This window comes from Homo sapiens, chromosome 1, assembly GCF_000001405.40.
Source record: "Homo sapiens chromosome 1, GRCh38.p14 Primary Assembly".
Classification (NCBI taxonomy): Eukaryota; Metazoa; Chordata; class Mammalia; order Primates; family Hominidae; genus Homo; species Homo sapiens.
Window position 1 is genome coordinate 20709185 of NC_000001.11, and position 25766 is coordinate 20734950.

The 25766-nt window shown below is 57.7% G+C and overlaps 2 protein-coding genes across 24 annotated transcripts in view, besides 16 other annotated features; both read right to left on the reverse strand.

Annotated features, from left to right (window-relative positions):
* The window catches only part of KIF17 (kinesin family member 17), a 56378-nt gene extending 47555 nt beyond the window's left edge, over positions 1–8823 (reverse strand). For 17 of the 19 annotated variants that reach the window (XR_007062426.1, XM_047426155.1, XM_047426150.1 and 14 more), the window contains exons 1-4: positions 8292–8823; positions 6309–6455; positions 4270–4371; positions 455–644 (exon numbers count right to left, since the gene is read on the reverse strand). Coding sequence is in view for 18 of the 19 variants with exons in the window: in XM_047426155.1 (XP_047282111.1) it covers positions 455–644; positions 4270–4371; positions 6309–6455; positions 8292–8522 (670 nt within the window). In the remaining variant the exon portion in view is untranslated. Of the gene's footprint in view, positions 1–454; positions 645–4269; positions 4372–6308; positions 6456–8164 lie in introns of all 19 variants that reach the window. The other 2 variants (XM_047426158.1, NM_001287212.2) reach the window with 1 other exon arrangement.
* Positions 897–1551: an enhancer, noted in NCBI's record as "H3K4me1 hESC enhancer chr1:21036574-21037228 (GRCh37/hg19 assembly coordinates)". NCBI's record gives its function as "activates a minimal SCP1, AML or CMV promoter by ChIP-STARR-seq in primed H9 embryonic stem cells {active_cell/tissue: H9 hESC(primed)}" and the evidence as "EXISTENCE:reporter gene assay evidence [ECO:0000049][PMID:30033119]".
* Positions 8532–8601: a silencer, noted in NCBI's record as "silent region_369". NCBI's record gives its function as "represses an Ori minimal core promoter by ATAC-STARR-seq in GM12878 lymphoblastoid cells {active_cell/tissue: GM12878}" and the evidence as "EXISTENCE:reporter gene assay evidence [ECO:0000049][PMID:35858748]".
* Positions 8772–8901: a silencer, noted in NCBI's record as "silent region_370". NCBI's record gives its function as "represses an Ori minimal core promoter by ATAC-STARR-seq in GM12878 lymphoblastoid cells {active_cell/tissue: GM12878}" and the evidence as "EXISTENCE:reporter gene assay evidence [ECO:0000049][PMID:35858748]".
* Positions 10547–23519, reverse strand: SH2D5 (SH2 domain containing 5). 5 transcript variants are annotated; one of them, XM_011541460.2, is made up of 11 exons: positions 21828–22540; positions 21562–21667; positions 18774–18902; positions 18339–18419; positions 17817–17891; positions 16736–16882; positions 15212–15451; positions 14899–15067; positions 14442–14550; positions 13572–13731; positions 10547–12811 (listed from the first exon to the last, which is right to left on the reverse strand). In XM_011541460.2, exons 3-11 carry the CDS (start codon positions 18858–18860, stop codon positions 12608–12610), a joined length of 1272 nt encoding a protein of 423 aa, XP_011539762.1. In that variant the 5' UTR covers positions 18861–18902; positions 21562–21667; positions 21828–22540; the 3' UTR covers positions 10547–12607. The 5 variants fall into 5 exon arrangements, with proteins under 5 accessions (XP_011539762.1, NP_001096631.1, XP_011539763.1 ...); NM_001103161.2 differs by lacking the exons at positions 21562–21667; positions 21828–22540 and adding an exon at positions 22997–23519; XM_011541461.3 differs by lacking the exons at positions 21562–21667; positions 21828–22540 and adding an exon at positions 22820–22994.
* Positions 18388–19050: an enhancer, noted in NCBI's record as "H3K27ac-H3K4me1 hESC enhancer chr1:21054065-21054727 (GRCh37/hg19 assembly coordinates)". NCBI's record gives its function as "activates a minimal SCP1, AML or CMV promoter by ChIP-STARR-seq in naive H9 embryonic stem cells {active_cell/tissue: H9 hESC(naive)}" and the evidence as "EXISTENCE:reporter gene assay evidence [ECO:0000049][PMID:30033119]".
* Positions 19051–19712: an enhancer, noted in NCBI's record as "H3K27ac-H3K4me1 hESC enhancer chr1:21054728-21055389 (GRCh37/hg19 assembly coordinates)". NCBI's record gives its function as "activates a minimal SCP1, AML or CMV promoter by ChIP-STARR-seq in naive H9 embryonic stem cells {active_cell/tissue: H9 hESC(naive)}" and the evidence as "EXISTENCE:reporter gene assay evidence [ECO:0000049][PMID:30033119]".
* Positions 21306–21999: an enhancer, noted in NCBI's record as "H3K4me1 hESC enhancer chr1:21056983-21057676 (GRCh37/hg19 assembly coordinates)". NCBI's record gives its function as "activates a minimal SCP1, AML or CMV promoter by ChIP-STARR-seq in naive and primed H9 embryonic stem cells {active_cell/tissue: H9 hESC(naive and primed)}" and the evidence as "EXISTENCE:reporter gene assay evidence [ECO:0000049][PMID:30033119]".
* Positions 22000–22691: an enhancer, noted in NCBI's record as "H3K4me1 hESC enhancer chr1:21057677-21058368 (GRCh37/hg19 assembly coordinates)". NCBI's record gives its function as "activates a minimal SCP1, AML or CMV promoter by ChIP-STARR-seq in naive and primed H9 embryonic stem cells {active_cell/tissue: H9 hESC(naive and primed)}" and the evidence as "EXISTENCE:reporter gene assay evidence [ECO:0000049][PMID:30033119]".
* Positions 22000–22699: a biological region, named in NCBI's record as "H3K4me1 hESC enhancer GRCh37_chr1:21057677-21058368".
* Positions 22450–22499: a silencer, noted in NCBI's record as "silent region_371". NCBI's record gives its function as "represses an Ori minimal core promoter by ATAC-STARR-seq in GM12878 lymphoblastoid cells {active_cell/tissue: GM12878}" and the evidence as "EXISTENCE:reporter gene assay evidence [ECO:0000049][PMID:35858748]".
* Positions 22610–22699: a silencer, noted in NCBI's record as "silent region_372". NCBI's record gives its function as "represses an Ori minimal core promoter by ATAC-STARR-seq in GM12878 lymphoblastoid cells {active_cell/tissue: GM12878}" and the evidence as "EXISTENCE:reporter gene assay evidence [ECO:0000049][PMID:35858748]".
* Positions 22900–23019: a silencer, noted in NCBI's record as "silent region_373". NCBI's record gives its function as "represses an Ori minimal core promoter by ATAC-STARR-seq in GM12878 lymphoblastoid cells {active_cell/tissue: GM12878}" and the evidence as "EXISTENCE:reporter gene assay evidence [ECO:0000049][PMID:35858748]".
* Positions 22900–23585: a biological region, named in NCBI's record as "H3K4me1 hESC enhancer GRCh37_chr1:21058590-21059262".
* Positions 22913–23585: an enhancer, noted in NCBI's record as "H3K4me1 hESC enhancer chr1:21058590-21059262 (GRCh37/hg19 assembly coordinates)". NCBI's record gives its function as "activates a minimal SCP1, AML or CMV promoter by ChIP-STARR-seq in naive and primed H9 embryonic stem cells {active_cell/tissue: H9 hESC(naive and primed)}" and the evidence as "EXISTENCE:reporter gene assay evidence [ECO:0000049][PMID:30033119]".
* Positions 23070–23229: a silencer, noted in NCBI's record as "silent region_374". NCBI's record gives its function as "represses an Ori minimal core promoter by ATAC-STARR-seq in GM12878 lymphoblastoid cells {active_cell/tissue: GM12878}" and the evidence as "EXISTENCE:reporter gene assay evidence [ECO:0000049][PMID:35858748]".
* Positions 23586–24256: an enhancer, noted in NCBI's record as "H3K4me1 hESC enhancer chr1:21059263-21059933 (GRCh37/hg19 assembly coordinates)". NCBI's record gives its function as "activates a minimal SCP1, AML or CMV promoter by ChIP-STARR-seq in naive H9 embryonic stem cells {active_cell/tissue: H9 hESC(naive)}" and the evidence as "EXISTENCE:reporter gene assay evidence [ECO:0000049][PMID:30033119]".
* Positions 23870–23939: an enhancer, noted in NCBI's record as "active region_324". NCBI's record gives its function as "activates an Ori minimal core promoter by ATAC-STARR-seq in GM12878 lymphoblastoid cells {active_cell/tissue: GM12878}" and the evidence as "EXISTENCE:reporter gene assay evidence [ECO:0000049][PMID:35858748]".

Sequence of the window (25766 nt, forward strand, 5' to 3'; positions counted from 1 at the left end):
GTTCAAGACCAACCTGGGCAACACAGCAAGACCCCGTCTCTACAAAAAATTAGCCAGGCATGGTGGTGTGCATGTAGTCCCAGCTGCTCAGGAGGCTGAGGTGGGAGGCTCGCCCGAGCCTGGGAGGCAGAGGTTGCAGTGAGCCGAGATCACCACTGCACTCCAGCCTGGGTGACAGGGTGACACTTTGTCTCAAAAAACAAATAAATAAATAAAAATTGTCTGGCACACAGTGAGCGCTCAATGTTGGCTCCCAGTGTTACTGTGTTTGCTGCTGTTTATCCTGGGAACACGGGTCCCAGCATCCCAAGGGTCCTCTTGGGTTTCCTCCAGGCTGTTAGAGCATCTCTTCCCACTTTCCAGGGGCTCCTGCGGCCCCGAGAGGTGGCGTGCCTTGGCTAGTGGGAGTGGCTGGGTCATCTGTCCCCCTGCCCCCAACAATGGCCTCGCATACCCACGGCAGACATCTCGATGCTGATGGTGAAGATGGAGTGCGAGCGTGAGGAATCCTTGTTCATCAGCGTGTAGCCGACCGAACGGTTCTTCCAGCCAGTCTCCATGATGTGCTCACACTGGGCCACGCTGTGCACCGTGTGCATGGACAGCCCCTTCACGTACACGCCCTTCTCTGGGTGCTCCTTCAGCTGAGGGAGGAGGAACAGTCAGGGGCGGAACCTCCAGCCGCCAAGGGTTAGGACCAGGGATGGTCAAGGAACCAGAGAGAAGGGCCCCATCCAGACCGCCCTCGCCCTCCTGTAATGCAGGCTGGCACCTCACATGCCTGTCACAGGGAGGGGTGTGTTCCAGGCCCAGCCAGCCTCAGACCTACCCCTGCCTCCTACTTGCTATGGGACCTTCAGCCAATGACAACCTAAGACTCAGTTTCCACATCTGTAAAATGGGCATGAGACAGCTATCTCATAGGATATGGGGAGGAATCCGTAAAATAAGGCACACACAATGCTTAGCATGGTGCCAGCACCTAAGTGCCCCATAGATGCCAGCCACTGTCTGTGCTGTTGTTGTTAGTGCTATGATTACAAAGGTGGGTTTCCTTTAGGGAGCTTCAGATCCCAGGGGCTGAGCCTGTCGTCACCCATGAGCCCTGAGTGCTGTCTCCCTTTGCCCGTTGCTAAGGCTCCAGATCCCCTCTGCCGTGGCTCTAGAACAACAGGAATATCCCCAAACCCTCAGATCACAGGTGAGCCCACTTGCTCCCCAGAACCCCGCAGGCTCACAGCCCAGAGGCCCCCAGCCCTCAGGGCGATGGCAGCAGTAAATTAATTTATCTGATGGCTCCCTGCTGGCTTTCCAGGCAGCAAAGTCATTTTGCTGCGGACACGGAGCTGTGAAACACGGTATTTTTCAAGTGTGAGAGGAAATAAAACCACTCTGGCACCAGAGCAGAATGAATGAGGACAAAAGGCATTTGTCTGCCAAGTGGTCCTGTGGGTCAGAGCCACAGGAGGCTCAGCTGCTTTGCTCCCAGCAGCTCTAGGGGGGTCCCAGGTGGGCTCAGGCCCCTGCTGTGGGAGAGGCGTGGGTGGGGGTCGGGGCGAGGCACAGCTGGTCCTATCTGCTGAAGCGTGGAGAAACAGCCAAGCCCCACCAAGGGACTGGGCTTCATGGAATAGAGGAGTAACTGACACCCAGAAAGGAGAAGGTGAAGGTCACAGCTGTTTGTTAGTGGGGTCATAGCTGTTAGTGGGGTCACAGCCGATGGAAGGCTCCAGGGTTCAGGGCACAGAGAGAGGCCAGAGCATCCTGCAGGAGCTGAAGCTTGAGATGACAGAGGGCAGGTCTCGGCCCAGGCGGCAGCTGTGAGGAGGGAGCCCAGAGGACGGAGCCGCGTGTGGCCTGAGGGCACCTTGTTCTGTGACTTGCTGGTTGGGGAGGTTAATATGCCTCTCTAAGCCTCAATTTTCTCTTCCATAAAATGGGGATGATAACTCCTATTTCTACAAGATTATTATGAGGATTAGGAAGAGAACAGATCTAAAAAACGGTTCTGCGGGTACTCAGTGGGGGCTCAGTTACAAAGAGGATGAGGTCGCCATCTCGGGCCTGAGCAACCCCAGGAGACAACACCTCACCCGAGGGGTCTCCCGCCACGATATTTTCCAGCCTAGGAAGGCTCTCTGCTCCCACACTTGTGATGGCCTCAGGGGTCCCCCTCCACCGCGCTCCCAACCCCACTCCACCCCCGACGCCTGGGGAGGCGCTGAGTGACAGCCCTCAGCCGCGCACCAGGTTCCTTGGTAACTGCTCATCTCTGCTGCGGAGAGGCCAGAGCCGGGTCACCATGGCAACCAGCTGGGATGCGGCAAGGATGAGAGAGGGGAGCATGGCAGGAATGTGTCCATCGCTGCCACGGGGAGGGGAGCCCTTGACACTTTGCCTGGACATGGGTGGGAAGAACCCGCTGGAGAGGCCCCCTCAGGCCTCACCAGATCAGGCAGTTCAGGGCTGGGTTCTGTGATGGTAGTTTACAGTGGCTAGGGGGAGGGGATAGAACTCTGCTTCCCCAAACCTCTTGCTGGCCTTAGGTGATGTAATAACCTCTGATTACAACCACGATCGGGCCTGTGTTAAGCACGGGTTAAGAGTGTGTGCTGTGGAGCCCCCGGGTTCAAATCCCATCGCCACTCTTTACTGACTGTGTGTCCTTGGGTTGGTCTTACTTAGGCACATGGAGCCTCAGTTTCCTCATCTGTTGTTACAAGGAATAGGAACGGTGCCTCCTCCTGGACTGCCAGGAGGTTTACATGAGAGCCATCTGCACATCCTCCACGAGGGAGCGTGTCTAAAGCCCGGTGACCTCTGGAGTGTGTTTCAGCAAGCGCATCTGTCACTGCAGCCCCCAAGGCAGCTGGTTCAATAGGCCTGAGACCCATGGCTCAGCTGCAGCAAGTGTGAGCAGCTGCCAGCCTTCGGCCCCTCTAGGCCCGGGTAACTGAGGCCTTTCTAGGGTCCAGGGTAGTGACGAAGGGGAGGAGGGCTCCCTGCTGCTCCAGTGCGGGTTAGCAGAAGGTTTGCAGGGGGCCAGAGTGCCCTAACTCCACAGGCTGGCCTTCTGGGGCTGACATGTGGGAGCAACACCCTCTGTTGCCTCCTGTCTCTGCTTCCCTGTCTGGGGGCTGAGCTATGATTCAGCTGCACTAGGAGAGGGAACGCAGTAGAAAAACTCTAGGTGGGAGGCTGGAGGCTCCTGCATAAAAAACACCAAGTGGCTGGGTGCATGTGGTGGTGCATGCCTGTAGTCCCAGCTACCGGGGGCGCTGAGGTGGAAGGCTCAAGGCCAGGAGTTCGAAGCCAGCTTGGGCAACGCAGCGAGACCTTGTCATATATATATCTATATTATAGATATTATCTATATTATATATATAGATAATATTATCTATATATATATCTATATATATCTATATATATATAATATAGATAATATCTATATATATAATATAGATAATATTATCTATATATAATATAGATAATATTATCTATATATAATATAGATAATATTATCTATATATAAAATTATATTATATCTATATATATTATATATATAAAATTATATTATATCTATATATAATATAGATAATATCTATATATAAATAGATAATATCTATATATATAATATAGATATTATCTATATTATAGATATAGATAATATTATCTATATTATAGATATTATCTATATATAATATAGATAATATTATCTATATTATATATATAATATATCTATATTATCTATAATATTATCTATATTATCTATATTATATATATATTATCTATATATAGATACTATATATAATATAGATATATATATTTTGAGACGGAGTCTCACTGTGTTGCCCAGGCTGGAGTGCAGTGGCACAATCTCAGCTCACTGCAACCTCTACCTCCTGGGTTCAAGTGATTCTCCTGCCTTAGCCTCCCCAGTAGCTGGGACTGTAGGCATGCACCACCACGCCCAGCTAGTTTTTGTATTTTTAGTAGAGATGGGTTTTCACCATGTTGGCCAGGCTGGTTTCGAACTCCTGACCTCAAGTGATCTGCCCACCTTGGCCTCCCAAAGTGTTAGGATTACGGGCAAGAGCCACTGCACCTGCCTAAAAAAGTTTTTTTTAATTAAAAAAAAAAAAAAAAGTCCCGACTCTAGCCTCCCAGTGCCGGCACCCTCAGGACACTTTCCCATATTTCTGAGGGAGCAGCACCAATGCCAACCTCCCCCCTACCAGCCCCACCTGCCCACAATGGGTCTGCACCCACCTCCAGCTTCTGCTTGGTGTCAGCCCCAAGGAGGTCCCGGACATCTTCATTGTAGATCTCCAGGTAGGAGGCCCGGACCAGGAACTTAGTGTTCTCTGCACACTGCAGGGAGTACACAGAAAGAACCTAGACCTCAGAGCTCGAAGTCCACCTGCTGCCAGGTCTGACCCTGGGGCCTGGGCCCTCTGCCACCAGGACATCATGGGAGGAGAAGGGACATCGGGGCAAGAGGAGTCTCCAACCCAACCCGCCCTGCTGGCCTTCCTGGCAAGCTCTCTCCTGTCTCCAGCTTGGTGGGCGCTCAGGCCTCTTTGAGTTGCATAATCTTCATATTGCTGTCTAATGCTCTGTCTACAAGCCTCATGGGAAAGGAAACAGAGGCCTCCTCGTTATTCAGGTTAAAAACAAAAACAAAAACAAACAAAAAACAAACAAAACAAAACAAAAAAAACAGGGCGGGGCGCTGCTCATGCCTGTAATCCCAGCACTTTCGGAGGCCTAGGTGGTTGGATCACCTGAGGTCAGGAGTTCGAGACCAGCCTGACCAACAAGGTGAAACCCCCGTCTCTACTAAAAATACAAAAATTAGCTAGGCCAAGCGCGGTGGCTCACGCCTGCAATCCCAGCACTTTGGGAGGCCAAGGCAGGCACATCACAAGGTCAGGAGATCGAGATCATCCTGGCTAACACGGTGAAACCCTGTCGCTACTAAAAATACAAAAAATTAGCCAGGCATGGTGGTGGGTGCCTGTAGTCCCAGCTACTCAGGAGGCTGAGGCAGGAGAATGGCGTGAACCCAGGAGGCGGAGCTTGCAGTGAGCTGAGATCACGCCACTGCACTCCAGCCTGGACAACAGAGCGAGACTCCGTCTCAAAAAAAAAAAAAATTAGCTGCGCATGGTGGTGGACACCTGTAATCCCAGCTACTCAGGAGGCTGAGGCATGAGAATTGCTCGAACCCGGGAGGCAGAGGTTGCAGTGAGCCAAGATCGCGCCATTGCACTCCAGCCTGGGCGAAAGAGCAAGACTCCGTCTCAAAAACAAAAACAAAAACAAACAAAGAAAAAGTGCGGTGGCTGACACCTGTAATCCCAACACTTTGGGAGGCCGAGGCCAATGAATCACCTGAGACCAGGAGTTCAAGACCAACCTGGCCAACATGGCGAAACTCCATCTCTACTAAAAGTACAAAAATTAGCCAGGTGTGGTGATGGGCGCCTGTAATCCCAGCTACTCGGGAAGCTGAGGCAGGAGAATTGCTTGAATCTGGGAGGCAGAGGTTGCAGTGAGCCAAGGTCATGCCATTGTACTCCAGCCTGGGTGACAGAGCAAGACTCCGTCTCAAAAAAAAAAAAAAAAAAACACCTGAGGCCACAGGGAAGGCCTGGGCCAAGCACTGGCTCTGGGCTGGTCCCTGGCAGCTCTCCAAGGCCCTACATGTTGCTGTGGCCACCATGATGAGTCCTGAGAGTGGCACAGTGGGTTCTGCAGCTGATCAGGGTTGTCCCCATCCGCCATTCCCCGTGCACTGCCACAAATGGTCGCCAGGTAATTCTCACCTGCAGCCTGGATGCCGGGATGAATTCAGAGTCCAGTCTCAACTTGGCCAATAAAGGCTCAGTCTCAACCTCCCTATCTCAAAAATGGGGTTATCAGCTACCTCCTGGGTCAGGCTGGAGATTCAGTGAGATAAGGATGCCAAGGGCTTCACATATGACTTGGTCCATAACAATTGCTCAATAAAGAGGGAAGCTGTGATTGTTACAACCACTTCCTGGCCCAGTGCACAGGGTCAGCAGATCCATGGGAAATGCTCAACTAAGGGTTAGAAGGCAAAAATGGTGAGAGAAAAGCATGGACAGAATTTTCTCTGTTCTAAGTTTTTTTCCCACCACCTTTTCAGAACCCAGAGCCTTCTCTGCTGATCTGCACGGGTCAGGCCGGGCTCCAAAGACTTCCCGTGTCTCTGCCACCTGTCAGAAGTGCTCTGGGCCCAGCTGCAGCTCTGGCCCTGCCCCTTCCCTCTGCGAGGCCCGTACCTGGACGCTCTCGAACACGTGCTCGAAGGCCCTGGGGATGATGCCTCTCTGGGAGGGCGGATCCGGCAGGCCCTGCATGGTGAAGGACTTCCCGCTGCCTGTCTGGCCGTAGGCAAAGATGGTGCCATTGTAGCCCTCAGTGACGCCCTGCATGGGAGGAAGGCAGGACCCCGTGCTCAGTGGAGCAGGCACAGCAGGGCTCGGGACAGGGCTCCCTAACCCACAGACTCAGGGCCCTTCCTGGTCCCCCCACCAACAATGGCACTGGACTGTGGAGATAAACAAGGCGCAGCTCTGTCCTCAAGGAGTTGACTCTCTGGTGGGGTAGGAGCTGTCCCTGTGTGTGGATGGGGAAGAGCCTGAGCTGTGGGCTTGGCCCCCTGGGCTCACATCCATCTCCACTTTACTGACCGTGTGCCCTTGGGCTGGCCTTACTGAGGCAAATTGATAAGATGATAAGAAAAACACCTTGGGCCAGGCGGGGTGGCTCATGCCTGTAATCCCAGCACTTTGGAAGGCTGAGGTGGGCAGATTACCTGAGGTCAGGAGTTCAAAACCAGCCTTGGCAACACGGTGAAACCCTGTCTCTACTAAAAATACGAAAAATTAGCCGGGTGTGGTGGTGAGCTCCTGCAGTCCCAGCTACTCGGGAGGCTGAGGCAGGAGAATTTATTGAACCCAGGAGATTGCAGTGAGCCGAGGTCGTGCCACTGCACCCCAGCCTGGGCGACAGCGCGAGACTCCGTCTCAAAAAAAAAAAAAAAAAAAATCAATATCTTAAAGGGTAAGAGCAGCACCTGCGGGGCTCTCACAGGGTGCATACAGGGCTTCTTTCGTGCATGGGCACAGGAAGCACTGCCATACACAGGTGATGGCCCAATGTCTGCCTGCAATGCAGGGAGCTGGACACGTACAGGTGATTCTCGTGGCGGGCTATGGGGCGGGGCACACAGCGACAAGAGTCCAGGCAGCCAGCCGGCAGGGACAGGGAGTACAAAGAAGCGAAAACAGGATGGCACAGGAAGAACGAAGCACAGCTTTCCAGGCGGCAAAGACAGGGAGAACTGGGGGAGCTGGGAGTGGGGCTCGTACTTTGCCAGGTGACAGGAAGAGGAAGGCATTCCAGGCTGAGGGGTCAGCTTGAGTAAAGCCACACAGATGAGGTGTGGAGAGCAGGAGGGACTAGGGGAGGGGTGGAAGATGAGGCCTGGAAGGAAGAGAGGAGGCAAACCCGGTGCTGTTCCCAAAGTCATTCCCAAAGTCATTCTTCATTCATCGCTGTTTCTATTCATTCGACAGGGACTATGCTCAGCCTACGGACAAAGTGGTGAACGAGGCAGACACAGTTCCTGCCCTTGCAGAGCTCATGAGCTTGCAAATTCTAGACCTTAGTGTGGGCTTGGGGTGGATCCTGTATGGGTAGATTGGCCCAGAGAATTGTTCTGAGACCCCAAGGGCCCACATGGCATCTATGCCCGGTTCCACTGCAAAGACCCATGCTGTAACCAAAACAGGGCTAGGTGTGCCCCATCTTGCCAGTGAGGGAAGATAAAAAGTCACCATTCGGCCGGACGCGGTGCCTCATGCCTGTGATCCCAGCACTTGGCGGGCGGATCACTTGAGGTCAGGAGTTCGAGACCAGCCTGGCCAACATGGTGAAACCCCATCTGTACTAAAAACACAAAAATTAGACGGGCGTGGTGGCAGGCACCTGTAATCCCAGCTACTTGGGAGGCTGAGGCAGGAGAATCGCTTGAACCCGGGAGGCGGAGACGCTGGGGATAGTGCAGACCCGGAGGCGACATTAGAGGCAGGCTCTGGTTGTGTCCCGCCTGGACAAAAGCCTCCGGACCTACCTGTTCCCGTCCGCCTGCGCCCCTCGAGGGCCTTTCCTCCTGGCTGGGGGGCAGCGCAGCCCCCTGGGGACTCTCGGGGCGGCCTCATGCCCTGCCGCCTGCAGGGCGGCCTGCCGGGCGCCCTCACCTCCACCAGCGGATAGGCGATCTCGTTGTAGATCTGCTCGGTGACGTGGTCCACGTGGTAGGCGCCGTCGAAGGTGAACTGCTTGGGCGGCTCGTCGGCGGCGCCCGGGTTCTGGATGCAGCACTGGGCGCGCGCGCAGTCCACAGTCACCACGGGCTGGCAGCGCAGCTCTCGCTCCCGCTGGTTCATGGGACGGCAGCGCACGACAACCTTCACCGCCTCGGAGGCCATGGCGCCGCGCCCAGGACCAACGGGACCAGAGCTGACCCCCGCCCCGCCGGGGACTCCCAGCAGCCCGGGCCAAGGGGCGGGGCCAGCGCCGGCCACGGGGGGCGGGGCCTTGAGGCAGGGGCGGGGCCGCGGCGGGGGGCGGGGACCCCTCGGGGGGCGCCCCGGAGGGGAGCTGGGCGTCGCAGGACCCGAGCCGGGGCCGCCGCTTCCTCCCGCGCCCGGGCTCGCCCGTTTCTGAGGCCCGGCCCGAGCGGGGACGTGGGGGATCCGCGCTGCAGGCGCCGCCGCAGAACCCGAGCCCGGAGCCGCCCCAGCCGCCTGCCCGCAAGCTCACCGCCGCGGCGTTCGCGGTTGCTGGGCAACGCCCGTGGCGTCACAAGAGCGGCCCCGGGAACGCCCCGCCTGGCCCGCGAGCTTCGCCCGAGTGATCCCCGCAGCCACGCGCGGCCGCTTGCGGGAAGCGCCAGCCCTGGCTGGGCTCCTTTCGCGTCCGCTGCCTTCTCGAATCCGCACAGTCCCAGTTCAGAGATGTTACGCAGCTTGCCCGAGGCTGCGGCTAAGACTGGGGCCCGGGGCCCCAGGCTTGACTCCACCTCGGGGCTACAGAGATCCCAGGCCTCAGGCACGGGCCAGGGACCTAGGAAAAGCGGCAAGGACCTGTTGCCCCTTATCCACGTCCCCGTACTGGCTCAGGGAAAGGCTGCCCACCACCCACAGCCCCTGGACAGCTTCCTCTCATGCCACCCGTGTTATTTCTAAGACCCGAGATTGTAAAACAAACACTTTGGGAGCAAGTCTTTTGGGCCGGGCGCGGTGGCTCACGTCTGTAATCCCAGCACTTTGGGAGGCCAAGGCGGGTGGATCACCTGACATCAGGAGTTCGAGACCAGCCTGGCTAACATGGTGAAACCCGCGTCTCTGGTGGTGGGCACCTGTAATCCCAGCTACTCAGGAGGCTAAGGCGGGAGAATCACTTGAACCCGGGAGGCAGAGGTTGCAGTGAGCTGAGATTGCATCATTGCACTCCAGCCTGGGCAACAAGAGCAAAATTCCATCTAAAACAAACAAACAAACAAAAACAAGTCTTTTGGATGGAAGGCTGCCTGGCCTATCCCTCCTGGCTCAGTGCAAGTTCCCCAGCCAAAAGAGCACCTCCGTCACACCTCTGGGCGCTGGGCTCTTCCTTGCACTGAAACACTGAGTGTCGGCTACATGTCAGGCACCGTGACAGATGTTAGGGAGACAGCCCTCCTGCATGATCTAGCTGGAGAGACAGACACAGGAAACAAAATCCCACAAACAAAATCCCGAAAACGAAAATGTAATTACAAGCTGAATAATCAGTTCCATGCAACATATCTTTTTTTGAGACAGGGTCTTGCCCTGTCACTGAGGCTGGAGTGCAATCATAGCTCACTGCTGCCTCAACCTCAGGAGGTCTCAAGCGATCCTCCTAACTCAGCCTCCCGAGTGGCTAATTTTTTGTAGAGATGGGATCTCATTTTGTTGCCCAGGCTGGTCTCCAATTTCTGGACTCAAACGATCCTCTCACCTCGGCCTCCAAAAGTGCTGGGATTACTAGCACGAATCACTGCACCCAGCCTATGGAACATCTAAAAAAGGAACCTCACTCAGCCCAGGGTGTAGGGCAGGCATCCTGAGATTGACTGGAGCTGAAATATGATGGCTGAGTGGTTAACAAGGTGAAGGGAAGGGAGGAGGAGGAGGACGCCGGTCTGGGCTGTGCGGAGGTCCTGTGGCACATTGCAGAAGCAGAAAGCAAGCCCAGGTTGCCAGTGCAGAAGGACTTGAGTCTTTTTCCTATAGATATATCCACTGAAAGTTGCAGCAGAAGAGGAACGTAAATTGATTGAGTCTCCCTGCGCAATTCCTTCTGAGCCCTTGAGGACAGGACCTCTGGTTCACCATTCAGCACCAGCTGAAGATACGTTTGGCAAAAACGAAATAGGGAAACGACAAAAACCTCACCTTTCGAAGGAAAGAAAAGTCTGTAGCAGACAATCTGAAGCAACACATTTTATTTTGTTTCAAGTCCACACAGCAAGGAAAGTGGGGCTACCGAGGTGGCGCAGATTGGAACAAAGAGAAAACTGTGGTCTCTGATTAAGACATGGAGTCTGCAAACAGGGGCCAAAAACCTTGCCCTCTCTGTAACACGAGATCAATCTATGCTGGCTGGAGGGATGTTAAAGTGCTTGGTGGAGACTGGTCCCTTCAGTGTGCTAAACATGGCCCTGATAGCTTCTCCACACAGGTAATTCACCAGTAAAACCCATCCCTCACAGAGGAGAGCCTTGGCCCAAGTCTGGACCAATGACCAGGTCTTCTTAAGTGCCCATCTCTGGGCTGTAATCCTAGACCCAGGACATGGCTAAACCTCTCTCTCCTTGCCAGGGAAATGTGAGGCTGGGGCCTCCCATAGAGACCAGTGGTTTGTCCAGGCTCCAGTACAGATGGCTGTAAAACAGAGTCCCAGCTTCCCACTCACTCAACATAAAACCAGTGCTGGGTTTCCAGTGAAAAGAAGTCCCAAAGGGCAGTTCCTTCTATCTTTTGTGACAGGATAGCTCACTTAACTTGCAAGGAAGTTACAAGGTCCCAGGCCAAGCCCCTCTCCTCACGGGAGGGTTGGAGGTGGGGAACACGAGGCCTGGGCCTCTGGGAGGCTGGCTTCTCACTCCCCAAGTTTGCCTCCTTTCTTTCTGCTCTGGTGGGACTGCCCAGTTCCTTCCAGGAGTCAGAAATCTGTGACTTTCAAGGCACTGAACAGTTCTGTCCCACTCCCAGACGGGGAGAGGGCAGCCCCCAGGCTCATGACGTGGCTTCTGCTTCAATAAGAGAAGTTCATGCAAAATGAACTTGTTCTATAACAGAGTTCAGTAGATTCATTATTTGTCAAGTTTGCTTACAAAGAGGGTTTGTCAGTCACTGGCAGGACCACTGCCTCACACTAGAGTCGTTTCCCTGGGTCTCCCATGGCCCGCTGAGGCCAAGCGCCCCCGGCAGGGCCCACATCAGGTCCACCTTTCGACGGTTCTGCTGTGACTGACCCCATTCCCAGTGGGGCTGGCCTGGTGAGGCAAGGTGGCCCCTGACAGCCACGGTCAGGGCCATGCTAAGGGGAATGTCAGCATCGGACAGCCTCCCTCCCAAGGCAGCCACCAAACCACATGCGGTCGAGTTAGGAAGGGCCCTGGTCACCCCTCTAAGCCTGCAGCTCACTGCTGGCCCCTCCCTGTCAAATGGCTAAAGGAGATGAGCTGGGGGTGGGGGTGCCCTGGTGATTCCTAGGGGGAAGGGGTGAGCCTGCGCATCCCTTCTGAGAAAGCGGGAGTCACAGCCCTGAGGTTTTGAGTGGAGACAGCATGGAGATTCTTGGCCCTGTCTGCTGGTGCGCATCCCTTTCTGCACACAGGAGTCCACCGTGCGTGAGCGTTAGGTACAGCCCTCTGTCCCTCCTGCCCTCTCTGCACCTTCCCACCCCTCCTTCACTCTCAGATACATATGAGAAACAGCCCTGCTCTGTCAGCCTAGATGGGGCTCATCCCCAGCCTCCTGCCCACAAGCTCCATGGAGTCATCTCTGCTCTCATAGACAGGGTGGCTCACTCCAGGTCTTTGCCCAGAGTAAAAGCTCACTCCTGCCTCCCCAAAACCCTCTTTCTGGAGACTCCCAGTCAGCGCCCCAAGGCCTAGCCTCCTTAGGAGAGGGCTGCAGCTTTGCCGTGAACAAGCTCCTGCCCCAGGAGTAAAGCAGAAGCCCAGAAGTCCCAAAGCATCCGAAGCCACACAGCAGGTCATCCGAAGCCACCCAAAGGGTTATCCGAAGCCTGCAACTCCACCTGCCCTCCTGGAATCTCAGCAGGCCACATGTTCTCCAAGAAGCCATTGGCGATACCCACCCTCAGGGCTCCCCTCCCACGGACAGTGACGCGATGGAAGACTGCTCCAAGGGCAGGGTGACTGGATGGAACTGGCAACCAGAGGGGTGCAGGACGGGCAGAGATGCTGCTGGGGCCCAGGAGCCGGGGTGAGGCGGGGCCTGTGGGACCGGGGCCCTACCTCTTAGCCCAGGCCCTGCAGCTCTGCCTCGGACTTGGCATGGCTGAGGGGCCGGAGAGTCCGGGGCGGCCTGCCTGGGGGCCCACAGTCCTGCTCCTCGTAGGTGGGGTTCAGGCGGCCCATGTCGAGGGGACAGAAGAGGCTACGTTCAGTAACCGCGTGGTTCTCCACCAGAGCCTCCAGGCTGGGGAACTCTGCCGGCAGGTGCTAGGGGAGGAAGGGACTTCAGCTCCAGTCCCCTTCCCCAGGGCTCACGCCAGGCACCAGCCACCCGCTCCCACAGGAGCCTGCACATTTTGGAGAGCAGGGAACGGAGCCCAGAGGCTTCACATGTGCTATCGTGGCAGAGCCAAACACCATTCCCTCTCTCTCTTCCCAGCCTGGATAGGAATGAGATGTTTAGCTTGGAAGTAAGGGTACACATGTGAAAAGCCTCGCCACCCCCTCCCATCCCTAGAAACTGGGGGGCAGGACAAGACATCACACTGGAGACTCAGGCTGTTGAGCTTAGGCACCCCCTGCCCTCTCTGAGTCAGTTTCCTCCTCTGCTAAGATGGGCTAGGGTGTGGGAAAGCCAGGATTCCTGTAGAAATGTTAGACATGACCCCAGCTCAAGACTCTATTAGAGGTACCCTTTGAAGCCACCTCTGGAGAGAAGGGTCCTCGGTGACCAGGCACCTCCCTTCCCCTCCAAGAGCCTTCAGGTCAGAGCAGAGCGGAGTCAACAGAGGTGGGGCCAAGTGGGCCAGCTGGGGGTGAGGCCAGCAGGGCCAATGAGGAAGGAGCAGGACAGTAGAGGCAGGATGGAATTGGATGAGGGGCGAGGCCAGGGAGAGCCAATGGGAGACAGGGATGGGGGTGAGGCACATTCAGGACCTCAGCAGTTAGAAAAGGGCAGGCAGGAAGGGCCAGGGATGGAGCCAATGATGCGGCAGGGCCCAGGCCCCTCTGGCTGCTGCGCTCTTACCTCCAAGCAGTAGCGGCCCAGGTGGTTCCGGAAGACCTGGTGGGGCACCACGCCGCACTGCGTGCGCACGGACAGACACCACTGGCCGCTAGCACCCAGCTCAGGCCACAGCAGGAAGGCCCCCAGCACGTCTCTCCGCAACAGGGCCAGGGCACAGGGCCTAGGAGCACAGAGGGGAGAGAGTAAAGGCTGGACTGCTCTCCTGGGCAATGGTCATGAGGACCCCAGCAGCATCGAGGCAGCCTGCGGATTAAATGCCCTTAAACACACGGTGCGTTGGCCGGGCTCAGTGGCTCATGCCTGTAATCCCAGCACTTTGGGAGGCCCAGGCAGGAGGATCCCTTGAGCACAGGAGTTTGAGGCTGCAGTGAGCCATGACCATGCTACTGCACTTCAGCACGGGTGACAGAATGAGACCCTGTCTCTAAAATGAAATTTCAAAACAAAAGCAACAGCAAAAACCCAACATGGGGTCTGACTCAGAGTCTGGCTCAACAGAAAGAAGCTTTTAGAAGCTTAGAAGGTTTCTCCAGAGTCTGTAATTGTTAGCAATGTCAAGACTCTCTCAGGAGAGAGGCTTAAAGAGCTGACGCTTAGGGGCCTCGCCCTGTTCAGGCCAGGTGCTGAGGGCTCTACTCAAATCACCTCATTTGACCCTCTCCACAGCCTTAAGATGAAGCTCCTTTCATTAACCCCATTTTACCTTAGAGAAAATGGAGGCCCAGGGTGGTGAAGTCCCAGGCCTGAGGTCACTGAGGTTGGGAGCGCTCTGCCCGTGCACGGGAGTGTGTGCCTCAGGGGCCTGGGAAGCCCATATTTCTCTGCCCACCCCAAGGGACTGGGCGTCAGGCCAGGCCAGGCCCTTCCTACCTGGAGATGCCAGCGAAGGCCCAGATGTTCTCCGTCAGGCTGCCCTCGCTCTCCACCAGGCACGAGTGGCCACCAGGACCCCGGGGCCATGCCTCCCATGCGGCAGGAACTGTGGAGACCATCCAGGAGTCAGAAGGAGAGTGGCCGAGCCCTCCCATTCCCTGCGGCCGCAGGCCTCATCACCCAGGGTGGTGTCCTCCCCAAGCCTCTCTACCCTGCTCAGCAGACATATCTGCACACGGGCCTTCCGCCCGACAGTTCTGGTCCATACACGGCTGTACACAGTCCCCTTTGCACAGACACGGATGCAGGCAAACACACACAGTGCACAGGCATCACTTGGAGGTGCGGCCACAGCCTTGCAGGAACGGGCACTCACGCCCACCTCTGGCTGGTCCAGGAGCGCACGGGCACGTGTCCCAGGTACACACAGGGCAGGCATGTTCCCACAACTCACAGGCCTCCCGAGCCGACAGCTGCAGCTGGGTCTCATAGGTGCAGCCGCGGTAGGCCCCCGAGCGGATCACCTTGCTGCGAATGGCCTTCTTGCGCACCAGCGTGGGCGAGCAGTAGGGATTCCCCAGGCGGGCATGGCGGGCACGGCCTTCCGACTCTGGCAGCTCCTTCTAGGGCACCAAGAGGGGCCCACAGGCAGGCAGACTCAGGTCTAGCCATGTCAGGCCAAGTGAAGCCCCTGCCCTGACATGCCCCCCAAACCCATACCCAGTTCCCTTGTCCACTGCCCACTCCTTGGCTGGGGTGCTGCGTACCCCACTGCCCACCAGCCCCTCTGCTGGCAGCCGCCGAAAGGAGACCAGGGCATGGACGTTCTGAGAGAGCTGATCACGGCCGAAGGGCTCCCGCACCAGGCCCCCAGAGCTGGACAGTGGCTTCAGGGGCACCTCCCCTGTGGGCCCTGGGCAGGGCTCTGGCTGTGCCCGCTCCTCAGGGTGCTGCAAGAGGTAAGCCAGCTGGAAAGAGCGGCACAGCAGCAGGTGCAGGATCTGGACCTGGGAGGGAGGGAGAGAGGTGGGCTCAGCTGGAGGAGGTCTCCATCTCCCAGTGAACTCCCTGGGCCTCAGCCCACTCACCATGGGTGCATGCAGCCCCTTGGCTTCGGAGGCTCTTCCCATTCTTCCTGGGAAAGCTCCTACTTACCCTTCAAAACCTCACCACCATGCAGGCTCCCTTACCAGCTTCCTTTATATATTTAACAAACACTGAGGACCTACTGTGGTCCAGGCATCACGCTTGGAGCAGAGAATGGAAGCGTGAGCTCATGCACTCCTGCCCCCAGGCTTACCAGCCCCACCCTGCATGCCACATCAGCGCCCTCTTCCAGGAATGGCCAAGAGCCCAGGTCCTGAAGTCAGAACTTGGGTTCCAATCCTGGCTCTGTCATGTAGGAGCTGCTGTGTGACCCTGGGCAGAGCATGGCACCTCTCTGTGCCTCGGTTTCCTCATCCCCACCTCCCTGTGCCCCTTTGAGGAGTCAGTGAAATAGAGCACAGGAAGTTCCCAGCACAGGCCCAGTGCTTGTCGGGAGCAGCGCATCCCAACCGCCACACACACCATCCAGACCCAACGAGTTAGAACCGTGAGCGTCAGCTCAAGGAACATGACTCAGCCACGTGTCACCCCAGTATCCAGCACATGGCCTGGATATACAGGATGACAGCAAATGGTTGCTGGTCAGAACCAAACCCAGCGTCTGCCTGCCAAGCGCCTAGCTGCCAAGGCTCTGTCCTTCACAACAGCCAGGCTGGCTTTGACTTTCTGATCTACCCGCCCACCCCGACCGCTCTGGGCCAAGCACTCTCTCAAGACCTGGACCCAGACTCGGCTCTCAAAGAACTCAGGTGCCTGTAATTAGGGCAGACGATGGTAGCGTGCAGTTCATGTCACAGGACCCCAGAGAGAGTGGCCATCCAGAGGAGTCAAGGCGGGGTTCAGACACATGGGCTGAGCCTTGAAGAGTGAGTGGAATGTGCTAGGATGAGAAGGGGAGGGGATGCCAGACAGAACGGCATGAGCGAAGGCCTGGAGGTGTGACTCTCCACTCTCTAAGCGCGTGGCCAGATTCCCGCCCCTGGGCCCTAGGGAATGCTGAGGCCACTGACTTGCTTTGTGGTGTCCTCAGTGGGAAGAGCCACAGAAAGAGCCAATGTGGTGAGGGGTGCATGCCTGGAGGGGGATCAGGCCGCCCTGGCAAAGCCCTCAAGGAACCCACCCTGATGCCTGGCGCACAGCCCCTCCGGCCTCCGTGGCGGTCCCCTGCCTCAAGCCCCAGATACCTCTCCTGGCTGGCTGCCCACAAAGAGGTGGCAGAAGAGCTTGCTGGCTGGGCTCCGTGGGTTTCGAGCCATGAAGGCAAACTGGCAGTCGGCAGGGCACCAGGTGGAGTAGAGTATGCGCCTCAGGGCATGAGCCATCAGCAGCACCTGGCGAGGCAGCAGTGTGAGGCCCCCATCAGACCCACCGGGCAGCCCCACCCCTGCTTGCCAGCCTGCAGGGGTGAAGAAACCCTCCCTCCTTCCAGGCCCGCCCAGTCTCAAGCCCTCATCCTTCACATGGGCCCTGGGGCTTAAGATCGCCACCCCCATGTGATGCTCGGCCTGCCGGGAGCACAGAGAATGGGAGTGGCAGCAGGCACTGGGGTGACACGCCTGGTCCCTGGAGGCAGGTGACTGGGGTGCGAATCCTGGCTCTGCCACTCATTTGTGTGACTTGGGCAGGTGAGGGCAGTCCTCTGAGCGCCTGTTGTGACGTGTCAGGTAGGGAGATATGAGGGCCTCTCGATAGGGCTGTAGGTGGGGATCAGTGGGACCTCATGTGAGTGGCACAGGACCTGACCCCAGGGCCCCGCAATGCCCAGCTCTGGGGACACCAGGTGTGCCTCAGTGGTAGGCGACTGATGCCTGCAGCTGTGGGGTACAGTCTGGCGCGCAATCAGTGTCCGCCCCACGCTGGTTCAGCAGCAGGACGAGCCTGCAGCAGGGCAGGGAGGAGGAGCAGTGGCCAGGAGCAGCCTACCGCACCTGGGTGAAGCTGCCCACGGCCCACCAGCCAGGGCGGGGCAGGGCAGCTGCGAGAGCCTCAGTGGGCTGGATGTTCCTGATGCTCAGGTGGGGAGGTGGCCCCAGAGGGATTCTGGAGGCCCAGGGGTGGGAAGCTGTGGCCTGAGCCAGCCCTGGGAGGAGGCGGCCCCTGGTGCAAATCCAAAGGCCCAGAGCAGGTAGGCTGGCGCGCCAGGGGGACCCCAGGGGAAGCACGGGGGCCGAGCTAAGGCCAGGACCTAGGCAGAGGAGAGCGCATCCTGAGGGTGGAGACACCTGTACCCCTCCAGTCCTCACCTGCACCCACAGGGGTTCCTACCTCACCCTCCCCGCTGTAGATCTTGAGACCCTGAAGGCTGAATTTCAGGATGACGGCCCGGCGTCGGGGACAGTCCTGGGTGGAAAAGAGTAGTGGGGACAGGCACCACCTCCCAGACCCTGCCTTGGCCTGCCCAGCCTCAGGACCATCCACCAAAGGCTGGTCAGCCCACTCCACCACCCCTGGCAGGGGGTGGGGCCCTGGCTGGTGGACCCCCCTGGCGCTGGGGAAGTGGGGATGGCTCCTGGCAGATGACCCCTAGCTAGGGCCACCGCTGGCCAGGCTGTGACTATCACCCACATCTCCATCTGTGGCTTCCAGCTGTGGGGCCCAGGTCACAGTAGCCCAGGGCATAAGGGATGGGGCCCCTGGAGCCTGGGTGTGTGTCCTGACCAGCCCACCACAAACAGGGCCTGTGTCCTGCCCCTCTCTAACTGTGGGGAGAGTGGATCTGGTCTAGGGGGTTACCTGGTCTTCAAGGCTGTGACTTCCACTAGGGAAGTGCCCTCCCAGGCCACCCACCTTCAGCGCCCACAGCTGCTGCTGCACCAGCCACACGCTCTCCTGGGTGTCCAGGTCATCCACAGGGAAGGAGCCCACGTACTGCTCGGCAGTGGGGTGAAGGGAGTAAGGCGGGGAGTCAGGCCCGTGGCTCCTAACCCCATCCTCCAAATTCCCCCCAAACACACATCTGCTCTGCCAGGCGTGTCTGTGGACAGACAGAGCTCGATTCTCGGAGCCCAGGCTCTGCTGCTTCCCCAGCAGGAGACCTTGGTCAGGTCACTGAAGCTCTCTGAAGTCCCAGTCCCTCATCGGGGCACACACACACTCCCCAGCCCAAGTCAGGCAAGAAAGAGGTGGAAATAGGTCCTAGGCCCGCAGCACTTCCCAATCACCAGCGCCTGCTACCTGAGGGCCACCCACCAGAGCACACCTGGACAGGGTGGCCCCACCCACCTGGGCAAACTTGGTGATGCACCTGGGCCGGTGAGGGGCCAGCCCGCAGTCAGAGGCCCTGCGGCCCCCAGCCCCCGCCTTCTGCATGGCCCCCAGGGTGCCTGGCTTCCAGCTCCACGGGAGGGGAGGCTGCAAAGGGCAGGGGGGGAAGGGCTGCTTTCGAGGCAGGCAAGCCACAGAGTGCCCCCCACAGGCCATTCATTCACTGGCTTCCTGAGCAGCTGCTATGTGTGCAGCACGGCTGCGCAATGTCCCGGGCCCTGGGGAGCCAGCCCAGAAGAAAATGATGACGTCTCTGACTGCCCTCAGGGAGCTTACTTACATTGTTGCTGGGGAGAAAGACATTGAACTAAATAGTAAGATAGATCATACGTGAGATGGGGATGGAGCAGGGAGGAGAATGGGAAACGTCAGCTTAAGGGCTGACTGTTGCTGGGAAGCCCTCACTGAGGAGGGGAGGTCTGGGTCAAGATCTGAAGGGTGTGGCGGTACATGCCCAGGGTCACTCAAAAACTCAGCAAGCACTGAGGATCCTGGTGTTCTGGGCTGGGGCCTGCCCCAGGGGCTGGTTACAGGAAGACCTGTAACCAGATTGCACAAAGTGCCAGAGGGAAGGGAGGGCCACCTGAGAGGGCGCCATCAAAGAGAAGGGCAGTGACAGCGGCAGAAACAGAGACTGCAAAGACACAAAGGAAGGCAGGCAGTGGGGGCCCGCAGGCCGACCTCAGCCCTTATCAGAAGGGCAGGCTGGATCCAGTTTGGGATCAGCCTTAGACGCCAGGCTCAGGAATTCAGACCCCACCCTGTGGGTAGTGGGGAGCTATAGCAGGTTCTAGGGCAGGAGCTCTGTAGTTCATGAAGGTGGCTGCAAGCTGGATGGCCAGAGCTGATGAGGCCAGGGACCTGCTGCATGGGACCCTGCCTCACTCAGCCCAAACAGACCCCAGCCCCTTCCTGAACCCCCCAACCCCTTGCAGATCATGAAAACCAGAACTCAGTCAGACAGTGCGCTGATGCAGACAGGATGTGGGGAAGGAGGACAACTGCCCTGGGGGCTGAGGACCACCCCCCACCGTCCAGCCCAGCCAGGTTCTGGTCTTTCCTGGGACCCCTCTCCCACATCCAGTCGTGGAAGAGAGGAGTGGACCCCCCTTAGGTGACTGTCCTCAAGGGCAGGGAACACACTATTTCCCATGAGAGCCCAGGACACAGCTGGTGTTCAATTAATGTGGAATTAACATATCATGGCCCCATGATTCCAAGAAAGAATGGCTAAATGCCTCTGGCGAGGTCCCCCAGGACTCAGCTCCCTCGGTCTCTCCTGGGACCAGTGAGAAAGCCACCTCTGTGTCCTACCCTGGCTGGCTTCACTCACCAGCCTGCTTGTCATCACTGACTTGGGATCAGAGAGTCCTGGGTCCAAATCCTGTGTGACTTTGGACCAGCTGCCTCAACCCTCTGAGCCTCCCCTTCCTCATCTGCAAACCTGGGATCATGTGAGGAGTAGATGGGGACAGAATGGAGGAGGCAGCGCCCAGCCCGACGCCAGCCAGGCTTGGATCCAAAGCTCAACAAAGCCTGCTGCTCAGGAGGGAGCTTGGGAGGACAGCGGGGTCTGACCACTTCTGCTCCCCTCCTTGTCCTTGGCCACACCGACAGGCGCCCACAGAGAGCAGGTATCCAACAGAGCCCTGGGCAGCAACGACGGGTCCCGGGTGTGCTCCCACTCAAGGAGGAGGGCTGGGGTGCTTTGGAACTGACTCTGTTAGCACCAAGAGCCCGGGAAGGGACCCTGTCTCTGCCTGCCCATGACCTTTAACCTCAGGCTCAGGCCAGGGTGGAGGTGCCTGCACCGATCCACTTTCAGTGAGCAGCCAGGAGCCAGAAAAAAAATGCTGCACCTGCACCATCCCCTTGAGAATTCCTGGCGCTCCCTCCTATCCTGGCTGCCCTCCTGCTTTTCTGGGCTATTGCACCCGGATCATTTTCATGTCATATCCTTTACCTACTGTATCTTTTATGTTTAAATAAAGCAAAGTTACATGTGCAACCGGCACTAAAGCCACATGACATTGCTTCCAGGTAAGGAGGTGGGGAGGGGGGCTTCCAGTGAAGCCGCCTTTCAACTTCACAGTCACATCCTGGGGCCAGGATCGGCCAGGATGGCGGGCAGTGGGGAGGGAGGAGGCAAAGACCACAAAACACGGAGAAAAGGAGAGGGAAGGTACGGACGATGGAGGGGTGGCCGGGGACAGAGGCAGGAACAGAGAAGGGCGAGAAAGACAAAGCAAAAGAGAGAAAGGAGAGCTGTGGGGAGGAGAGGGGAAGGGCACGTTTCCCATCCTGCTCGGGGGGGGGGGGGACGCAGCCCCTCAGGCACCAAGTGTGAGATGGGGAGGAGCCGTGCGGGCATCTCACACTCACACGCGCACACAGCTGTGTCCAGGGCTGCTGCAGTCCCTCCCTCCACACCCAAAGCTGCAGCTTTCAGCGTCCCCAGTGTCCCAGCGGTGGGGGTGCAGAGGCCAACCACTGGCCCTCTTAGGGGCCCCAGCCCACCTACCATCACCTGATCCTTTCCCCATCTCCCTGGTCCTTAGCCTCCTTGGAAACTGGAAGTTCCTCCCTCCTTCCTAAGCCTGAGGAGCACAGTGCATTCAGCCCAGGCCTGGAGTTGGGGTGGGGGGCTCCCGGGGGACCAGGGAGGGCATGGAGCTCACTCTAATCCTGGAAACAGACATTACCCAATTCCAGGCACAAAACACCCACTTGTCTCTTTGGGGCAGACCTGCTTTTCTGAGGCTTTACACTGGAGTCTGGCTGGGCCAGCACCTTCCGAAGGGGACACACTTGGAATGAGGCTGGAGCTGTCCTCTGAGGTTTTCCAGGTGGCCCTGCTCAGAGACAGGAGACTGGATGGGCTGACCTGCCTCGTGGGTCAGGCGCAGAAGCCCTCTGGGGCACTGCACCATAGCTGAGTTGTGTCAGGGGGAGACCACCAGCCCGCAGACCCTGGGTCAGCAAAGGGTGGCTCAGAGGAGTGAAGTCACTTGCCCATAGTCACACAGCTTCAGTGGGAGAGCAGGGAAGCAAATCCATGTCTCTGGAGCTGTTTCCTCAGGCCATGGCGGTGCCTTTCTGCTCGGACTCCCCTCCCACAGATAAGTAGGGTGTCCACTCTTGGAGTTTGGTGGGGGTCCCTGCCAGTCCACGAGGAGGTGAGGCAAGGAAGCCGCTGGCTGGCGAACTCAGGTGCTGCCTCCTGGCCGGAGGGTCTGGGGCTGCCAGAGCGCCCAGTCTACTCCCACTGCCCCAACACGCGTCCACCTGCCCTGGGCCACAGGGTCGGGAAAACCCAAGGCCACCCAGCCAGGGGTCAAGAACTTAGATTGTGGGGTCTAACATGGTTGGCTGGCGTGACCTTGGGCAAGTCACTTAAGCTCTCAGCCTCCAGGTCCTCAGCTGTAGGGTGGGGATCCCCCAGCACTACCTCCTGGGGTGCTCGTAGCTCTGGTCCTTCTTGGAATGTTTCCGAGGCTGACTGTGTGTCAGGCCCCGCCGCCGGTGGACGAAGGTGCCCGCCCTCTGGGGGCACCCAGCTGGGGTGGTGGAGGCGGCATGGGGGGTAAAGTGATGAGAAGAGAACAGCGGGGTGAGGAGAAGGCGAGGTGCGTGCGTGTGCTGGGGGTGCTGCTTCACGGCCTCTCGAAACAGGCGACACGGGAGCGGGAAGCGCTGTTCCAGGGGCGGGTGGGCCGAGGCCCCTGAGGGGCGGGCGCGGGGGTGCGAAGCGCTCCAGAGTGGGCTGCCGGTCCCGCTGCGCTACCTCGCTCGGGGCGCTGCGGGGAACGGCCAGGGGCCCCGGCAGAGTCCCCGGACCCAGGAGCGTGCTGGGCTCCGCTGCAGGGGACGGAGGAGGCTACAGTGGCAGGGAGGGCAGATGACGACGGAGCGGGTGACGGGCGCCCCTCACTCCCGAGACCCTCCCGCGCCCGTGTCAGCGTACCAAGCCCCCCGCCCCTGCCCGGCTCCCGGCGCTCGCTCACCGCCTCTCGAGTCCGGTCCCGGCCGCTCCGGCCCGCGACCCCCGCGTCTCCCGCCGCCGCAGCCCCGCGCCTGGGTGCCCGCTTCCCGCCGCCCCCGACCCCGGTCCCCGCGCCCCCACACGTGGCCGCGGGAACCGACCCCCGGATCACCTGGCGGCGGCGACCCGCCTCACTCACCAATCGGCGCCCGCGGAGCCGCTCCGCTCGGCCGCACCACCCAATCAGCGGCCGCGAGGGGCCCTGGCACTGCCCACGCCCGGCGCTCCGCCTGGAAGGGCGGGAGGGGCTCGCCCGGAGCTCAGAAGGCACCTCCTCCCGGGCTGGGGGCGCTGAATCCCCCGCGCCTCACTCACGGGTCCCTCCTCCTGGAGGGCCTCTGCCCCTCCCCTCTCTGGCTGGCTCCTCCGCGTCATCCGAGCCGCGGCTACCGCACCGCCTCCTCCGGGAAGCCTTCCACGACCACCACTCACGCTTCATTCTCTGCAGAGCCCTTGTGACTCCGTTGCTCGCCTGTCATCCCTCTCCTCTTACTCGAGGACAAGTGACACTGGACCGGAGTGTCTCCGTTCCCAGTGTGAAGGATCGAGCCTGGCTCGGAGGAGGCGCTCAGGGTGGTTCGGGCCCGGCCCTTGTGAGTGGAGGGTCGTTGCGCATCCTCCTCCTCACTTTCTTCCTGCCGGGACGTTCTCAGCCGGGAACTGACAGATCCTGCTTAGCCCGGGGCCCAGCACTGAGAAATCTGGGAAGGAACGTTGCTCACCGCACATGGGCCGTGGCCCCATCCTTCGGGCCCTTTAGGTGGGGAATCGGGCTAGCAGCTCCAGCCACGGCACTGGGACGGGGAGCGCTATCGTCCCAGGAGACCGGGCGATGAGCCAAGGCTGCTGTGTATCCAACCTGACATCTGCAGGAAACCCCCCCGGAACCTGCCCATGCACCACACCACAGAGAAACCAGGACACAGGGGCTCAGGGCCAGTGGGGGCGCAAAGGCTGCAGACCGGGAGCGGGGCACCCTGACAGGTGGGCACAGCGCAGAGGGCCTGAGGGCCCCTGGAGTTCCAGGGGAGGCGGGTTTGCGCCAAGAGGCCATGCTGGCCACTCCTCCTCAGGGGATCTGGAAACCCAGAGGCAGCAGTGAGGCGTGGCCCCAAATCTGGGCTCTTCTTCTTACAAACGTGGGGCTTTGGGCAAACGCCTTCATCACTTTCATTCTTTGAGCGCCTCGTGTGGAAAGGAGAGTTACTAACGCCTGACTCACAGCCACGTGAGGATTCCAACGAGCAAAGTGCGTAGCGCAGTACCTGACCCACAGGAAGTGAGGCACCCAATAAATATTAGCTGACATTAGACCTTACTTTTAGTCTTGATTTTCTTTTGTATGTGACAGTACAGCAAGGGTTTGTTTAAGATAGGGTATGACTCTGTCACTCAGGCTGCAGTGACAGTACAGCAAGGGTTTAAGATAGGGTCTAACTCTGTCGCCCAGGCTGGAGTGCAGTACAGCAAGGGTTTAAGACAGCGTCTGACTCTGTCGCCCAGGCTGGAGCGACAGTACAGCAAGGGTTTAAGATAGGGTCTGACTCTGTCGCCCAGGCTGGAGTGACAGTGGCACAATCACAATCAATGCTCACTCCTCCATCTCTCAGGCTCAAGTGATCCTCCTGTCTCAGCCACCAAGCAGCTGGGACTACAGGTGCATGCCACCACACCCAGCTAATTTTTTTGTTTGTTTTTTAGTAGAAACGAGGTCTCACTATATTGCCTAGGCTGAAGCAAGGGCTCTTTGACTTCTAGATGTAAGTGCTCTGGGCAACACTTCACCACAGCCATCTGCCAGCCTTGAGTCCAGTGACAAGAGGGAACAAGATGGTTTACAAGTCACCCCTATTCTCTGCAAATCCAGTTTATTAAACTTGGAGTTCACAAAGAATAAACGGTTAATTCCTAGCTTTCTTGGGTGGGGGCAGGGGGAGAAAAGCGCGTAAGTTTTAAATAGAGGACTCGACAATTTCTAGCTCCACAGTCCCCGTTTTGAGAATATTCAGAGACAGCAACACGAGGCAAGCTCCATTAAATACTAACTCTAACAAGTTTTCTGATGCATACAATTCATTCTGATACATGCAATTTTTAAAATAGTGGCAGGAATTTGTTTGAGGTCAAAATGACAAAAGCTTAAATTCAGATAATGAAATAGTCAAAACCAGAGGGAGAATCCTGCTTTCTAAACCTTTCTCAGAAGGAAACAGAGGGTCAAGATTTGAGTGGCAGGCACTGTGCTAGATCCCAGGGACACAGAGATTTACAATAAAACATACAAAGCGCTGCAAAAACCAGATCTAGAGGCCGGGTGCGGTGGCTCACACCTGTATTCCCATCACTTGGGAGGCCAAGGCAGGTAGATCACCTGAGGTCAGGAGTTCGAGACTAGCTTGGCCAACATGGTGAAACCCTGTCTCTACTAAAAATACAAAAATTAGCTGGGCATGGTGGTGGGCGCCTGTAATCCCAGCTACTTGAGAGGCTGAGGCAGGAGAATCGCTTAAACCCAGGAGGTGGAGATTGCAGTGAGCTGAGATCCCATCACTGCACTCCAGCCTGGGCAACAAGAGCAAGACTCCGTCTCAAAAAAAAAAAAAAAAATCTAGAAAGATAAGTATGTTCAAAGTGTGTGACATTGACTACTGACTTCTACTACCAAGAAGGGTCTTCTTTTTGTTGGTCTTCAGTCCGACTCAGAAATACAAGGTTTCAAAACCAAGTGCATTTATATATTTGAAGGTTTTTAGTTTTACTTAAAAAAAATGTTTTTTGGCCGGGCGCGGTGGCTCACGCCTGTAATCCCAGCACTTTGGGAAGCGGAGGCAGGCAGATCACGAGGTCAGGAGATCGAGACCATCCTGGCTAACACAGTGAAACCCCATCTCTACTAAAAAATACAAAAA